We start from the raw sequence: 17,114 nt of genomic DNA on the forward strand, positions 1-17,114 counted from the left end.
AGAGCCAGAGAGCTCAGACTGTGTGTGGAGGCCTTTCCCATTGCTAATTCTCAGCCGGGGTTTTTGAACCTTTCCAATGTTCGCTCTCACTGGAGGGAACAGCATGCTTCCAAGAGAATAATAACAAATGCAATGCTTGGAGAATCGGCCCTGGCTTCAACCAGAAAGTCTAATTGTGTTTTCTTTCTTTCCTTTTATTTTTTCCAGTCAGGCATGATACGAACAGAAGAGGCAGATTACTTCCTAAGGCCACTTCCTTCACACCTCTCATGGAAACTCGGCAGAGCTGCCCAAGGCAGCTCGCCATCCCACGTACTGTACAAGAGATCCACAGAGCCCCATGCTCCTGGGGCCAGTGAGGTCCTGGTGACCTCAAGGACATGGGAGCTGGCACATCAACCCCTGCACAGCAGCGACCTTCGCCTGGGACTGCCACAAAAGCAGCATTTCTGTGGAAGACGCAAGAAATGTATGTAAGGGCGAATCTTTGTGTGTATTTAGTGATGCTGACATTTATGTAAGCTGATGGAAGCTTGTACATTTTCTTCAAAGCATGTCTGCCCACGGGGTGAAATCTATGGACTGTCGTTGCTAAACTGAAGCAATGATTCCAGAGAGAGTCCCTTATCTGTAAGTTCAGCACGGGACATCTCTCCATGGCAGATGGATGGATAATGGTAAATGATGTCTTTTTAAGAATTCTTTCCTGGGTAGATTAAATGACACAGTGTGCAGAAGTGCAGAATCTACCAGACATCTTCAAAAGAACCCAGGCATCACTACTCAGTCATTCTATATTTTTGAGGTTTAGATTTATTCAAGCCCACATAGTTTTCCTGCTGAGGTAATTCATTTATATGCATGCTTATATACATTACCACATCAAAAGGGCAGACTCAGTGTGACATAGTAGACCTGCGATTTATCACCAAAGCTTTATCAGAGTCTTTTTTTGTCATGAACATTTAGGAAATGGTTTATTATTTACATTTTTATGTAGAAACCTCTCAGAAATTCAAGAATTGAAGTTGGGTGCTTTCTGGAATGTCCCTCACTTCCTTGAGCTCTCTCCTCAAACATCACTGGGTGAACCTTCCTCAGGAGTCTCTGGACTGCCCCCTCTCCCCCTGCCCATTGTTTCCTGCGTGGTTGGTTTCTATGACTGCTTCACCCAGCACCCTGAATAGAGGCAGGCCTGTTGCAAGTACTTAGTGAATCTCGTTGAATGAGTGAACGAACAAAAATCTCTTGGCACCTACAACAACAGAATCAGTGCTTGTTAAACCATCAGTGCCTTTGTGTCCTCTGAACCCCTTTCGTCCTACCCCTGAAAGTCATGTGCTGCATTCAGATGACTTGAAAACCTCACACCCAGATGAACTTAGTGGGCTCAGGTGCAGGGGAGGTAGCAGGAAGAACCATGCTGAGAACAAACGGAGGTGAGCAGGAGGCTGAGAGAGTTGGGAATCCTGAGGTTGGGTGAGTGTTTGAAAAGGGCGTGCATATCGGCAACAGCTGCCCGAGGCTGCCGTGACCGGCAGGTCAGGACCCAGATGCGTGGCGGAGGCTTCCCCAAGGTCAGAGTCAGGACTCTGCTGCCAGGGCTCACGGTGTGGTTGTGGTCAGAGCAGGACAAATTCCGTATGCCAGGGAGAGGAAGTGGCCCACACACCTGGATCTCAGCAGGAGAGATAGCAGGGCCGTCTTAACCGCTTTGACAGACCACACACCAAGCTCTTAAGCAGACGCCACAGTGGACCTTGAAAACATCAAGCAATGCAGACCACTGTGAGAGGACTGCGATCCTTTCGTTCCTCTCTGAAGGTGGTCGCCATGACTCAGGCTGGTGGCACAGCTAAGGCACAGCTCTGTGTGCAAGGCAGTAGAGATGACCTCAGTGTGGTGTCCACATCTGCGCGTGTGTGCATAGGCATGGGAGTGTGCGTGTGTGTGTAGTGTGTGTTGCCTTGAGAGACACTTCAGAATTGTAATAGTGGTGGTAAGTGAAAGGCAGTTATTTCAAAAAGGATGCTAAACTCTATAACACATTCTGTATTTGAAAAGTGGAAAAAAGTTCCCATGGTTTCATAATAAAACTAGCGAAAGAAAGCTCAACAAACTGCCTCTTGTAGGTGGAGGATATTGGTGATTGACATCCTGCTGTTTGCCAAATATTTCCGTCCCCCCTGGGGTATGCAGGTGATAGTACTACACTCCTGGGCCTCGAGTGGCCAGGGGCCATGTGACCAGCCCAGGCCCCGGAAAAGTGAGCAGAATCAACAGCGCTGCTTCCTACTGGAGCGTGCATCCTCAGGGCCCTGTGTCACCTGCTCATGGACGCACCCCCAGGTCCTCGTGTCACCTGTGCATGGATGCACTGCACCCCCAGGGCACTGTCACCGATGCATGGATGTACCACAGGTCCTCGTGTCACCTGTGCATGGATGCACTGCACCCCCAGGGCCCTATGTCACCTACACACAGATGCACCCCCAGGGCACTGTCACCGATGCATGGATGTACCGCAGGGCCTCGTGTCACCTATGCACGGACACATCCTCAGTGCCCTGTGCCATCTGTGCATCGATATTTCCATGTTGTCCCTGAGGCTTTTGGACTTTCCCTTGAACTCAGGGCAGTCCTGCTCTTCTGTCTTGGTGGAATTCACACTTACAATGATTCTTTCCTATTAGAGTCCCCAGTTCAGAAAATGGGAGCCTTTTCTGTGTTCACTTAGGCATTTTTCGGTGGAAAAGGGCAAACAGAGGCAGGTTGATTTGCTGAAAACCAATAGTGAGGTTGGACCTCAGGCTGATTAGTGGGCCTGCTGCCCTTCAGGTGATGGTGGGTGTGCAGCTGGGGCCTGTGTGTTCTGGGGACAACGTTGCAAGCTCCATATTGAGGGGCAGTCATTTGCTGAGGGGTTTTCAGAGCCGAGGCCCGTGAGATCACCACCCCACGGAGTTTCTGACCCCTGCCCCCAATACTGAGGGCCTGTAGCTGCTGAGCCCTGTGCTAACATGTTGTTTTCATCCTAAAGCCATTTTTCCACCAGGGGTAATTAAGAACAAGAGTTCTAGGACCACACTGTCCAAATCTGAAAGCTATTTCCGACACTTTCGAAGGAAGGGGTGTGAGCCAGTAATGTTCCTCTCCTCTGCCTTCATGACCTCATCCTTAGAACCCCATGCTCAGCCTGGGGTACAGACTGCACGAGTTACACAGAGACATCTCCTAGGGTGGAGCTCACACCTGCGGGCATTGCATAAACATTAATGGCAAATGAGTGCTCAATAAACATTAGCTGGTATCATTATTATTCTCCAAAAGCTTTATTTAATTTTGGAAGTATGTTAGCAAAGGAAAATGAAACGTGTTGGATGTACTAGTCAAACAAAATAGCATCTGCTTACAGTATGCTCCGTGAATACAGTCTGCATAGATTTTGTGTGCATGCCACCTAAATATCTGGGCTTTTTGAAGTCCACTTTCACACGAAACAATTCTAACCACATTTTCTGAGGCATCCACTAAACCTAATTGTTTTCAATGTAGTGTTAACCTAACAATTATACATGCCAAAAATATTTTTAAAGGGATTACTTCAAGAGGAAAGTGTATGCTTTGTCTTCTAATCAAATACATAAATATTTATGGTACTTTCTAGGAAATTAAGCTCTTCAGTGAAGTGGAGCTGCCTCAAGCATTTTATAATCTATTGGAAACAGTGTAGACAAGCTAGTTATGTGTCCAGACATTGAAATCAACTTTAAACATTGTCAAGTCGTTAAAAGTCTTCAAGCAGGAAAACAATGCAAGCCAGCCAGCTCGTGTTCTTGTAATTGTTTGTTCCATTGCTTTGTCTTTGCAGAGGAATCTGTTCTACAAATCCCTATGCTCAAAGTCTCTGAACCCTTTTGCTACCAGATGTTAGGAGTTACAGCCAAAGAGTGCCCTCTCTTGCTGTTTTAAATTAGGATGAAATTATATAAAGGGAAATACAGCCATGATTTCCATGATGCCTAGACTACATGAATTTTACTTAAATTTAGTGTGCTACTTTAATACAAGTTTCTGCATCACAAGGTTTTAAAGGTTTATGTGGTTTTTATCATGAGTGTTCATTTTTGAGACCAAATTTCTCTATGACGAGTTACGGCCCTGATTTTGTGTGTGACTTGTGCTTCCATTTGCCCTCCATGTGTCCCTCCATAGACATGCCCCAGCCTCCCAAGGAAGACCTCTTCATCTTGCCAGATGAGTATAAGTCTTGCTTACGGCATAAGCGCTCTCTTCTGAGGTCCCATAGAAATGAAGAACTGAACGTGGAGACCTTGGTGGTGGTCGACAAAAAGATGATGCAAAACCATGGCCATGAAAATATCACCACCTACGTGCTCACGATACTCAACATGGTAGGATCATCCTTCCAGTTGAGGCCACCTGTGTCATTGCACTTCGTAGGGTGTGTGTGTGTGTGTGTGTGTGTGTGTGTGTGTTTCCATTTTACTTGTTACCTGTGGATTGATGTTCCATATATGAGAAATATTTTATTGGTGATAACTCATTTAGTTTTCTATGCTCCAATGAAAAGAGCCATTTTCAGAACTTCATAGACTAATTCAGTAGGAAAAATCATTTGACCTTCTCTATAAGCCTCTGTAAGCCTGTGAGATGTTTTGGGCTTACTGGCATCTATTTACTGGAAATCTCTAAGGGGTTGCTGAGCCACTGTAGTGCAGTAAATCTGATTATCAGCATTAGATGTGTGATTTTAGATGGCTCTATAGAAATGCCCAACTTTTTAGAAATACTAATGTTCAAATGCTAAATATAAATTATTTTATCTATAAAAACAGGAAAAGTGCAACCTTTTAGAATATCACCTCAGGTAAAATGTGTTTGTGTCTCAAATTGGCAGCTGTATTAATCACTGAAGAGTGATGAGAGGTATACTAAGCCTCATTTCATGTAAGTGAAATCTAAATAACAGAAGACAAAATATTGGGTTGCCAAAGTGTGTTTTTAAGAATAGTTTTAATGACAATATTTTAAAAGTATGTCTTTGCATTCTTCTGCCTCAATAAACAGAGTACCCCTGAATGTGCCCATCTTTCCATGATGTCATGTGATTACTATGGCTAGTGTTATTTTTGGTAGACTGAACCACTAGATTTCTGGGCTCCCAGGAAGCTGAGGAGGCAGTGAAATAGAGCCACCTTCCCGCTGCACGGGGTCAAAGCAAGCACGGCCCTGTTGTCCTCAGCAAGCTGCTCTGACGCGTGGAAGTGTTTGCCTCTCTTCTGTAGAGCTTTTCCAATATTTCCGCAGCGCAGTGGCAAATCACTTCAGGTTACATTCCATGGTGGACGTGCTGTTCCTGCTCCCCACCCCAAATGCCACTGTGATCACTCATTTCCATTTCCATGATCCATCACCTCTGATATCACCTCTAATTGTGTCTTTCTCTCATCATCTCATTACCATGATTTTTTCTTTCTCTTTCTTGTATCCTCTTGGAATCCCATAAGTGCGAGAGTTTCTCTTGCACTTATGGAATTCCTTGCCAGGAGAGCTTGAGAAGTGATTGGCTTCTGTCATCATCATGATTAGCTTAAAAATCCTCTTTATATTCTAAGGGGAACCCTTACCAACCCACAGCCTTGTGATCCTTTCTTAGGTGTTTGACCGTAAGAGGTGGACCCCACTCCCAGCTGAAGCTTCGGCTTTTTACCGTGATATGATTAATACATCTGTCTGCCTAGCAATACAAGAAAGTTAACAGTGCTCTGTCACTGAAGAACAAGGGCGTTGGATTCTAGGCCCGCTAGTAAGTAGGGGGGAAAATGCCATTTATGGGGCTGACATGGATTTCCTGTCTTTTTCAGGTATCTGCTTTATTCAAAGATGGAACAATAGGAGGAAACATCAACATTGCAATTGTAGGTCTGATTCTTCTAGAAGATGAACAGGTAGTTTATCTTTGAAACTATCTACTCTTTTTATTCCTAGAAAAATAAATGCAAAATAATGCTTTTTTCTTTAATATAATTGTTCTATGGGTTCTTCTCTCTCGAGGGCAAAATGTATTTAATATTTTGTGTCTACTGCAAATGAGTGTCTTTTCAATCCTTTTAAATGTTTTTTGGATTTTTTGTGGGGTTTTTTGTGCAAAAGTGGTAAGAAATTATCCTTTAATTGGCCTGTAAGAAAATGGCATGTAAAAGCTGCCTTCAGCATATAGGTGGGACACACACTAGGAATACACAGCACAAAATATATCTTAGCCATCGTGAGCTTTCAGGATGCCAGTGGGAATGAGCCCTTTCTGCTTCTTGCTAGGAGAGTATAAATGTTTTGTGGTCTTGAAGTTACATTGTACTGTGTGGCCCTGTGTTGCTTTATTCAATTATCTCCCAGCTCTTAACCTTCACCATCTACAGTCTGAGATTTTTTATTTTTATTGAGATTTCTATGGACTTTCAAGCGCATTTCCCTCACTGCATGCAAAAACCCAGATTATGCTGGGTCTTGGTAGCAGTGGGTTAAAGATCCTTTGCCTTCATTTGGGACCCCCGTAAATGCATAGAGGTGGTCCCTTCACAGAAAGGATGGACATGAACACCTTGTGGCCTAAGTAATGGGGAGGCATTTTAGGCACAAAATGTTCTCATTTCCATTTTTCCCCAAGCTAATCATTGACTGGGCAAAGGAGAGTGGGTACTGGACAGGAGCCAAGAGCCCAGCCTCAGCTCCACCCTTGCTGACGTTTTCAGAGTCTCCTTTTAGCTACAGTTTTCTTATTTATAAAACAAAGAATTTTTTAGATGAAACCCGAGATCATTCATAAGATCTAAGATGCCTTCGATGTTAAAGTTCTGGGATGCTGCTCTTTTTCTGTGCATGGTGGGGGCATGTGTGGACAGGGCTATTTCTAGTCTGACTAGTCAGGGAAGATACAACCTCATTGTCTTTTGTGTGAGTGCGCAGTTGGGGAGGGGGTTGCTGAACATGCCGGGCTTCTCAGGTGACAGGTTAATTATTCCTGGTATTAAAACCTCTTCACCTTGGAATTCATCCAAGCTGCAAAGAATAAGCGAGGTTATCGTTTGATCGTACACCTGTGTTAACTTTAATTAATGCAGTTTTCCTGGAAATCACCTGCTAAAGAACGCAAGGCTTGCCCCCGTGTTTGTGTGTAGCATTTTGCTTGGGTATATTTGACTTTCTGTAAAAACAACATAAACATTTCAGGAGAAAACATATTCAGTGTCTGAGAGACAAAAATTTCAATACGACATCCTAACAGTGCAAGCTTTAAACAAGCCAGTGTCCTGAAGCTGAGGTAATTAAACCTGGTGTTGTCCCACCAGCCATAGGAAACTAGAGCATGCCGGTGAATAAGGTTCAAATAACTTGGTGCAGGCTGGTCTGATGCATGTTCTTCTGTGTCTCGAATTCTTCCGTTCCCAAGAGTTCCAATGTTCTACGCTCTGTTACTTCATCGTTGCGTTATCTGAACCTAATGGAGACAGAGGAGGTTGAACATGGCTTGCAAAGTCTCCTTTTAGTTGCAGTTTATTTTCCAGAAATAAAGCTTTACCAATTGACCCACCTCCTCTCAGAAATATACTGCCTTTGTAGAAAAGATATTTAATTTAACACTATAATAATAAGTATTAAAAGACTTATTTATTGGAAATCCCACTTGCTTAACTTGGTTATGAGATAAACATATCACCATCTAGACGTGTTTTTGTATATGTATGTACAAAGCCATGTATAAATGATTCTGTGGCTTTACTTAATTTTGAAAAGTGTTTTTGAAAGATTTTTGAAAACAAAAAATTCATGCACAGAAGTAATCTTTCTTGGGTCATTGAACATGCATTCAGGATCAGCCAGATACATTTCAATTGTTTATGTATGGAACCAGAGAAACGTGCCTAAGTGTGTACACTGGATCTGTACGGGTTTTATAGAATACGTAAAATACACGCGTTAGCTTATATGCCATCCAGATCCAGCCATGTATTTGAAATCCAGGTCAATAATAGTTTGCTGTGATGACAATGCATTATAACATGTTTTCTCTTCATTATCATGGGGTCCTCGGTCCTTGTCTCTTGCACAGCCAGGACTGGTGATAAGTCACCACGCAGACCACACCTTAAGTAGCTTCTGCCAGTGGCAGTCTGGATTGATGGGGAAAGATGGGACTCGTCATGACCACGCCATCTTACTGACTGGTCTGGATATATGTTCCTGGAAGAATGAGCCCTGTGACACTTTGGGTGAGAACCTCCAGCAGAGTGTGAGGACCGTGTGTGGAATGTGCACCCCTGGCCGTGACACAGTGTTGAGTATTTTTGCCCTTGTTCCTTGTTAATAAGCAGTAGCAGCTTCTTAGTGAAGGTGTAAAGACTCACTTCCCTGTATAAACTTTAGCCAAACATAGAAGTACGCTTGCATTCATCAAGAGTGATTATTGAACAAGTAAATGTCTTACAGATTCCAGAGTTCCTATCTCTTCTAACAAAATAAATACATATATATTTTTTGTTTCTTCTACTGCTTGTGCCAATGGGGTGGATAGATCGAAGGCTTTCTCATTATATAGTGGAAATAGTACATTGATGAGTATCTGTGGAGATACTACGACCAGATTATATTTCCTGTTTTTTCCCTTCTCTCTCTGTATCTCAATCTTAGCAATGTTTTAGACATTTACGGGGCTGGGTGTGACTTGTAGAGGCAGCACTTTGTGATTCTTTCCGGATGGTCTGTGTAAAACACTGTGCTACTGACCAGGATTCCGCTGAACATGTCTTCTAACTCTCCGTTTCTTCCCAAGTTCCTAGGGAGGAAGGGTTTTTGTTTATAAAAACTTTCAGATAAAGCCCAATTTAATAGCGGTTAGTCTTATTGTGCAAAAGCAAGTTAACGTGGTGTCCCGGCTGCTTGTCCTTAGACAGCCCTCCTCACCCAGTTGGCTCTTGGCTGGACTCCGAGAACTCAGGTTGTAGGATGGTTCCCACTGCCCTACCTCCAAAGAGTGGCTCATTGTGCCTAAATTGTGTGTACAAACAGTGTGGTTTCCTTCTGAGGTTCTGGAATTTTGGCAAACTTTAGGCAGTGGGTGCCTATGTGACCAGCTCCCAGAGAAAACCCTGGACACTGAGTTTCTAATGAGTGTCCCTGGTGGACAACATTCACCTTCATTGCCACGACTCATTGCTGGGGAAGAAAGCACATCCTGTGTGACTCTGCAGGGCAAGGACCCTTAGACGTGTGTGCCTGTTTCCCCCGACTTCTGCCCATGTGTTTTCCCTTTGCTGATTTTGCCCTGTGTCCTTTTGCCATATTAAATAATAACCATGAGGGTGACAAATGCTCGTTATGACAGATGTGAATCATTAAAGCTGGGGGTGGTCTTGGGGACCTCCCAGCACACCCATTCTCTACAGCACCTTTTCACTTGGTCTTTTGGGAACATAGGTGTTTAGAATAAGGCAAAGACCTTCCTCCATCTGCAATAGATTCCACGCTTTATTAGAGCCTGCCCCAGGCTCTAATAGAGTCACGCCCCAATTAGAGCCTGCACCACGAACGTTACATAGAACCATGAATTGTGTTCCACAATACAGAGAGTCCTTGGGCTCCCTGGAAGGGAGTCCCTTCCCCTACCTTATCAAGTCCCCTTTATACGGTTGTCTAAGTGTTTCCCATTTCATATTTTCCCATATGAACATAAGAACTAAATTTCACTAAGGGGTAGAAAATAAATATACTATGCTTTATTTTATTACAACACCGCTATGTGTTCTTTTGATCTTTGTCCTTCACAGGATTTGCACCCATAAGTGGAATGTGTAGTAAATATCGCAGCTGCACGATTAATGAAGATACAGGTCTTGGACTGGCCTTCACCATTGCCCATGAGTCTGGACACAAGTAAGTGCATCTCCATGGGAGGATGGCATCCCGAGTTTTTTCCTTACTGGATGATTTCCATGGAAATATTGACTCATCAAGTCAAGTCCATGAAGGGAATTCACATATATCCAACGAGAATGCCATTGACAGTTATAAAATGCTGTCACTTAGGACTTCTGTTTCTATGTCCCACATCGTGCAAATTTTATTTTTATTTATTTACTTTATTTTGAGACAGGCTCACTCTGTCAATCAGGCTGGAGTGTAGTGGCATGACCTCAGCTCACTGCAATGTCTGCCTCCTGGGCTCAAGCAATCCTCTTACCTCACCCTCCCAAATAGATGGAACTACAGGCATTCACCACCATGCTTGGCTAATTTTTGTAATTTTTGGAGTGACAGGGTTTCGCCGTGTTGCTCAGGCTGTGCACATTTGAAAGCCACAGCAATGCACAAGTTTCCATGTCCCTGGGTCTTTCTCCAACACTCCTGTACACACCTGTGCCTAAGATTGAGGATAGCTGTATCTGTCCCGATTCCTCTGTCCCGTGTTTTGAACGTGGTCTGGTGGGCTGATCTCATTCCATGGTTAGCTGCTAACAGGGGACTCTAAATGATGAAGAACAGTGTCAACCCTCCCATTGCTTCCTGCTGTTACCCTCGCGTTTGTGTTCTTGTATATATTTATGTATTTACAATTTATAGAGATGCTATTTTTCATTGGTACTCCAAGCAAGAGTTTGGAAGAGTGGGTACTGACAAGAGATCAGGCAGGCCTCTAGGAACTGATTTGCCTCCCTTATTCCACCTCTGACTGCACCATTAATGGCTTGGAAATAAAAGTTTCAGGGAGCCCCACGAGCCTGGGGGCTCAACACAGAGGCCAGTCCTAGGTTGGCGGTCTCAGCAATGGGCGGTGGGTCATTAGTGTTTTCACCTTACATGAAATGCTTACAATTGTAGAATGAACAATTTCTAGCAATTATTTGTGGAAACTATTATTCTTAATACAATTTCTGAGGCCAATAATTCTGTGAGCTGCTTTACCTTGAAGTATCGTCTGTTAAATAAAAAAATCAAGGGCCCATTTCCTGCCCAAGCAGCTGGGGACTTCCTGCAATCACCCTGAGTAATACCAGAACCACCAACTGGAATGCAAATCTTTTCCTGCTATGCTGCAACAATACTTGAAATTTCTCCTAGAAAAATTTACAACCAGGAATTATAAGTTTTTATTTTTTTTAAATTTCAACCTGATTTTATTGGCAAAAGGAAAACCAAGGCAAGTGTTTGTGATTTGTGGTTTTGCAAAGCTGACTTATCCATTATTGGAAAATGGACTGAGGCCTCAGACTTGTTCAAAGCAGTGTGTGTGTGTGTGTGTGTGTGTGCGCGCGCGCACATATACGTGTACATGTATGTTTGCGTGTGTATACACATGTGCTTGTGTTTAATGGAATTCCACGAAGGTTCTGCACCCTTTAGCTGTGTGAACTGATGACCTGAAAAATGAAGCTTCATATCTTATTACTGATCCCTTCATCACCACAGGTAATGATTGACTATTTCATTGCTTAGAAAATTACACCTTCACTTTATAAAGCTTTCAGTTGAATCATAGTTGTATTTTTAATAGTCTGCTAGAGTTAAAACTTCAAAAACTCTCATTATTGTAACAACATGAGGCTCCTGCTGTCCTCTGAACCATACCTGAATTTAATTAAACAATCAAGGCAAGAAATATTTAAGTCACTGAGGGCTTAGCCAGTGAACGTTCGATAAGCAGTTGAGATATGGGAATTGGCAGTGCCAGCCGTTGCAGGTGGTGAACTTAACTAAGTTAAACTAGAGGCATCCGACACAAGGCCCTCAGTTGATCTTCAGTGTCAAGCAAGTATCAGTGTTGGCATTTATTTTTCTTAGAAGTCAATTATTACTATTTCCTTTCCTCACTCAAATTGGGTGTAGTTGGAAAAAGATTTTCTCCAAACAAGAAAAAAATATTTTTTCTGGAAAGTCAGAATCTAGATGTGAATAAAGAAAGAAGCCAGTCGGGCGTGGTGGCTCACTGTAAACCCAGCACTTTGAAAGGCTGAGGTGGGAGGATCACTTGAGCCCAGGAGTTCAAGACCAGCCTGGGCAACATAGTAAGACCCCATTTCTACAATAAATTTAAAAAATTAGCCAGGCATGGTGGTGTGCGTCTGTAGTCCCAGCTACTTGGGAGGCTGAGGTGGGAGAATCGCCTGAGCCCAGGAAGTCGAGGCTGCAGTCAGTTGAGATTGCACCACTGCACTCCAGCCTGGGTGGCAGAATGAGACCCTGTATAAAAAAAAAATAAAAATAAGCCCTGCATGTGGATGAAGGAGAGTCCCATTGCTAATATAGGATTAACTGCCAGAAAGTATCAGATCTTTCTTGAACACCTGACTTCTTCAAGTTCTCTGAGACAGAGAACCTGGAGCTTGTCAACGAAAAACCTGCTGACCATGTTGAGAAAATAGAAAATATATGTATCTATCATGTGCTAAATGCCAAAATGAGTGGCAATAATAGTAATAGTAGTAACGGTAATGATAATAGTAGTGTCTGCTCTTCATGGAGCACTTTCTGTAAAATTCACCTAGCAATTTCACATACAGCTCAAACCATGGAAACCACCCAGGACAGTTCCTTCTGTCGCCTTCACTGACTTAGGGGAGACTATGTGGAATATTCAGCAAATGTGTATGAATGGAGTCGGGGAATGAGTGACGCAGGGCGTGAGCAAGCAACAGGTGAGGAGTAAACGTTTCAAATGAATTGTTAGCTGTGACCACCACTTCAAATGAGAAAGGCTGTGATGTGTAAGACTCAATGATAAAACTCCGTGTATCTTAGTTGAACTAAACTGAAGACAAACACATTTGTTCAGTTCATGTATTTAGTGAGTTTTATTTTTGGAAGAAGGAATGATAAGTTTGATGCATGGAGCAAACATCAGAGCATCAACGGTCTGCTTTTATCAATGAGCTCCAAGCAGAGTCAAATTTTTGAGTTCTGTACGTCAAGAATTAAAAAGCAATTCTGAATTTATTATGACTTTTACTATTAAAAAACGTGTAAAACATACTGCTTCGAAGGTAAATTTTACTTTTTCAGTTCTGTTTACATTCGGAGGACATTATTTGGGATGGAGGAGTACTTCTCCATGCCTGCAACTCATAGGTTTCTAACCTTTAACTCAAATAAAGATTTCAGTTAGTGTCCATCCAATCTGTCCTCCTAAGTTCCACTTTTTAAAAAAATCTCAAAATATCATGTAGTTTATGCTAGGGAATGTGACCTAAAAATAGAAATTACTAAGAACAGGTGTTTGGATTTGTGTTGGAAAGAGAGGAGGAGAGACTGGAACCAGAACTGAGATATGTGTTCTCCTGTAGTACATGGGATTGAATCAGGATTTGTATTAAGCTGGTGGTACAAGGAGAGTTTCCTGGTTATGTTAAATCACTTGACACAGGACATGTGGTTTGCTAAGGCAGGTGCTGAAGCATTGGCACAGATGCACCAAGGGCTGAACTGCGCATTTGGGAGAATATGTCATCTGTGCATGAATCCATCTGAAAAATTCCCATTTGCTAAGGGAAGTCATGTCATTTGATGGGTAGGGCTCTGGGACTCAGATTCCAGATCAGCACAGTGCTACCACAGTCTGATAGTGACCAGGGAGGGTGCCCTTAACAGCTCTTACCTAGGTTTCCGATCTGCAAAAACAATAGAGCACTATATGCTCCGTAGCTCATATATGCAAGTGTAATTTAGGTTGCATTATTTGAGCTGTACATTCCACTTATATAAAATAGGCTTAAATAGCCAAGTTGCATTATCACTTGAGACCATTGAGGTGCTATAAAACAAATATATTAACTGTGTGCAGAAGTATTCATTATTCATCAGTCTGTCTCTTGCATTTCCCCAAGTTTATGGACCCAGTCACTGGGCACAATTTGCATTCTGAGAGCAAGGCATTGTGTAGGAGTCTACAAAAAGACTAGTGATCTATGCCCTTCCAAAGTTTAAGAGAAAAGAATAAATAGATATGCCATGCAAGATATCAAGTAATGAGAGCTGTCGGTATTGCAAGAGACCACACAGGGACAATCAGGGAGGTCTTAAAAGAAGCAGCATTGGGCCGTGTGTGGTGGCTCACTCCTGTTAATCCCAGCATTTTGGGAGCCCAAGGTGGGTGGATCATGAGGTCAGGAGTTCCAGACCAGCCTGGCCAAGATGGCGAAACCCCATCTCTACTAAAAATACAAAAATTAGCCGAGTGTGGTGGCAGGTTCCTGTAATCCCAGCTACTCAGGAGGCTGAGGCAGAGTAACCTCAGGAAGTAGAACTTGAACTCAGGAAGTAGAGGTTGCAGTGAGCCGAGATCACGCCACCGCACTCCAGCCTGGGCAACAGAGAGAGCCTCCATCTCAAAAAAAAAAAAAAAAAAAGCAGCATTGGTGTCACTATTGGTATCACTAGTAGTTAGCTTGAAAATACCATTCAGCTCAACCACAGTCACTGGAGATGCCCCTTTCAGTATTTGATGATGACATGTGCCTCCACCCCATTTGTGGCTGTGCTTTGTCACCAGTCTGGGCCTCTTCCAGTGCATCAGGGAGGCATGTGGTGATTTTTAAAGACTTGAAGAATATTGGAGAAAGCCAGCCCCTCTAACCATCATCTGGACTGGGGATTGTCAGGCTGCTCTCTGGGTAGCTGTGGTAGGTCAGAGCATCAGTTCTTACCAATTTTATTTGTTGTCATTCCTCTTAGGATTTCTTGTCTGTTTCTGTGTCCAACAAGTATTTGAAATCCATTAATATTTGGCCAGACCTTCCCATACACATGCATGCACATATGCATACCAACCATGAATGGCACTTAGGTGTTATATGATTTGACCAAGACCACATTTGGATCCTGGAAGGGAATAGAAGTTTTGAATTTTCCTTTCTGATGTGCACAGTCCCAGGCATTCTGTACAGTTCATGAGGAAGGTTTTACTATCCCATTTTATATATAAAGAAACTGAGGCTGGGGGGGTCAAGTAATTTGCCCAATATCAAGCAGCTTGTGAATGACAGAGCCAAGACCCTGACTGAGGTCCCTGCACCTCCACAGCCCATGCTGTCTCCCATTTTCTTCTCTGCCCATTTCCCTCAGTTCCCCGCAACTGCTGTCTTCAGCTCAGCCTTCTATCTTTCATGGAGGGTGAGCTGTGCTTCTCCAGATGCCTGCATGAAGCCTGCGTCAGGGCTCTGGGCAGCTCAGTCTTACCTGTGGTCGCCATCATTATGCCAAAGGTAGACTTTGCCATCCAGATAACATTGGCCCATGGTTCCTTTAAGAATGTCTCATGTCCTTAACCACTACTGTCTGAACAGCCTGAAATAAGTGATACAGCCTCTACAAACACTTGGCTGGTTATTCAGCATTCTCAGTATATCATTAATAATAAACAAATACTTCCCAATAGTAATTGAATCACTCAAAAAATATTGTAGAAGATGATAAAAGCATGACATTGAAATATAATTCCCAAATTCAATTTAATCTGAAATTAGATTTCCGTCTGGGTATTTGAGTTAGTGTTACAGCAGAAAAGGTTGTCCTTCCTTCACTTAACAAACACGAATAGAAACCTGTTAGGTACTGTCAAGTCCACTGGCAGTGGGGCTGTGAGCATGGATAAGAGGCGTCTCTGTCTTTTAGAAACTTATAAACTAGTAAGGGGAAAAAGATAAAATATATTTATGACTTTAGCAAATGGGATGATAACCATTTTAAAGTACTATGGTGCACAGGAGCAAGATATATTCTCTGGTCTGCATAATTTGAATAGTAGTTATAGTTCTTGGTTGCCACATAGCAACCTTATCTTCAAAATGTGTTCTATTCATTCTTCTGTGACTTTATTAATGGTGGTATTAAATGTAATCACTGTGTGCTACTTTTTTATGCTGATCTGCTGGCATTCATTGCATTACAAATGTGGGCATTGTACTGATTGGAGACACAAATTGTGAAATAGTGGTGCTGAGATTTTGGTGGGAATCAGAATCACCTGGGGATGTGTTCCAATACACCCAAATGCCAGCTCCTAACCCTCGACCCACAAAATTAGAACTATACCACTGCAGGCTTGGGTAGCTACATTGTGCTCTGTATCTCTCAGATGTTGATGCATCAGAGTTTGAGACTTGATACTAGAAAAAAATCATTGAAAATACTTTAAATGTAAAAGTTGAAGACCAAGATTTCCCCAGACTTGGGACATTGTGGACTTTGAATTCCTTAGAAAGGTAGGCAGACACGGTAGCAAGTTTATCGAGGGCAATTTCTGGACCGTAATGTGTCTTCTTCATTAGCAGCTCAAGGGCCAGCCAGCGGAGGGTAGTTTGGTATTTCGTGTTCCTCCTTTTCTCCCTAAGGCAGCCTCCCATTTAGGATTTCAGCCTGAATCTTTTTCACAGCCATGACACATTTCCTCTGCCATGTGGTTACCCTGGCCTTGATTAATTGCCTTTAATAGAACTTCAGAGAATGGGTGGAGGCTAAAATGACTACATCTACATCACCCTTGGTACTGATCAAGAATTTTGCAGAAATTCAGCAGTATTTGCACGCCAGATTTCCTTGGATACCGCCTTCAATCACGTTCAGGTTACACTATTACATGAATCCCAGCTAGGCTGTGACATCAAAGTGTCAAGGTTTCAGCCTTGACTCGGTAACCCTGGATGTAGTCTTTCTCCAGTCCTCGGTCTTGCTGTCTTTATATTAAAGCTACCTTGTAGAGCTGTGTTGAGTTTTAAATTAGAATATAGGTTACAAGCGTACCATAAAAGCTGTAAAATGGTGCGTGCTTATAAATGTTAATTACTATATTTACTAGTAATATATTACTAAATAGCTCTAAGCAAAGCAGTTAAATAGACAAATGTGTCTTCAGCCTAGGCAACAAGTACAGATTCTCTTGACACCTTTTGGAGCTGACTTTCCCCTACACTGGTGTCTTCCTGTCCCTGCTGCCTTCTGTCCACTCCTTATGGAATTCTTGGCAGCATAATGTCCCACATAAATAGAAACCACCATGTCCTTCTTTGCTTTCCCTCTCTCTTGCCTTCCCCCTTTTCTCTGCA

The 17,114-nt window shown here is 42.8% G+C and overlaps 1 protein-coding gene across 4 annotated transcripts in view, besides 2 other annotated features; it reads left to right on the forward strand.

Annotated features, from left to right (window-relative positions):
• Positions 1 to 17,114, forward strand: part of ADAMTS16 (ADAM metallopeptidase with thrombospondin type 1 motif 16) — a 179,975-nt gene that overhangs the window by 41,507 nt on the left and 121,354 nt on the right. For all 4 annotated transcript variants that reach the window (NR_136935.2, XM_047416874.1, NM_139056.4 and 1 more), the window contains exons 4-8: positions 208 to 469; positions 4,216 to 4,415; positions 5,889 to 5,972; positions 8,135 to 8,294; positions 9,849 to 9,954. Coding sequence is in view for 3 of the 4 variants with exons in the window: in XM_047416874.1 (XP_047272830.1) it covers positions 208 to 469; positions 4,216 to 4,415; positions 5,889 to 5,972; positions 8,135 to 8,294; positions 9,849 to 9,954 (812 nt within the window). In the remaining variant the exon portion in view is untranslated. The remainder of the gene's footprint in view (positions 1 to 207; positions 470 to 4,215; positions 4,416 to 5,888; positions 5,973 to 8,134; positions 8,295 to 9,848; positions 9,955 to 17,114) is intronic.
• Positions 609 to 1,432: an enhancer, noted in NCBI's record as "OCT4-NANOG-H3K27ac-H3K4me1 hESC enhancer chr5:5182558-5183381 (GRCh37/hg19 assembly coordinates)". NCBI's record gives its function as "activates a minimal SCP1, AML or CMV promoter by ChIP-STARR-seq in naive H9 embryonic stem cells {active_cell/tissue: H9 hESC(naive)}" and the evidence as "EXISTENCE:reporter gene assay evidence [ECO:0000049][PMID:30033119]".
• Positions 1,433 to 2,257: an enhancer, noted in NCBI's record as "OCT4-NANOG-H3K27ac-H3K4me1 hESC enhancer chr5:5183382-5184206 (GRCh37/hg19 assembly coordinates)". NCBI's record gives its function as "activates a minimal SCP1, AML or CMV promoter by ChIP-STARR-seq in naive H9 embryonic stem cells {active_cell/tissue: H9 hESC(naive)}" and the evidence as "EXISTENCE:reporter gene assay evidence [ECO:0000049][PMID:30033119]".

This window comes from Homo sapiens, chromosome 5 (genome assembly GCF_000001405.40).
Source record: "Homo sapiens chromosome 5, GRCh38.p14 Primary Assembly".
In the NCBI taxonomy this organism is placed as follows: Eukaryota; Metazoa; Chordata; class Mammalia; order Primates; family Hominidae; genus Homo; species Homo sapiens.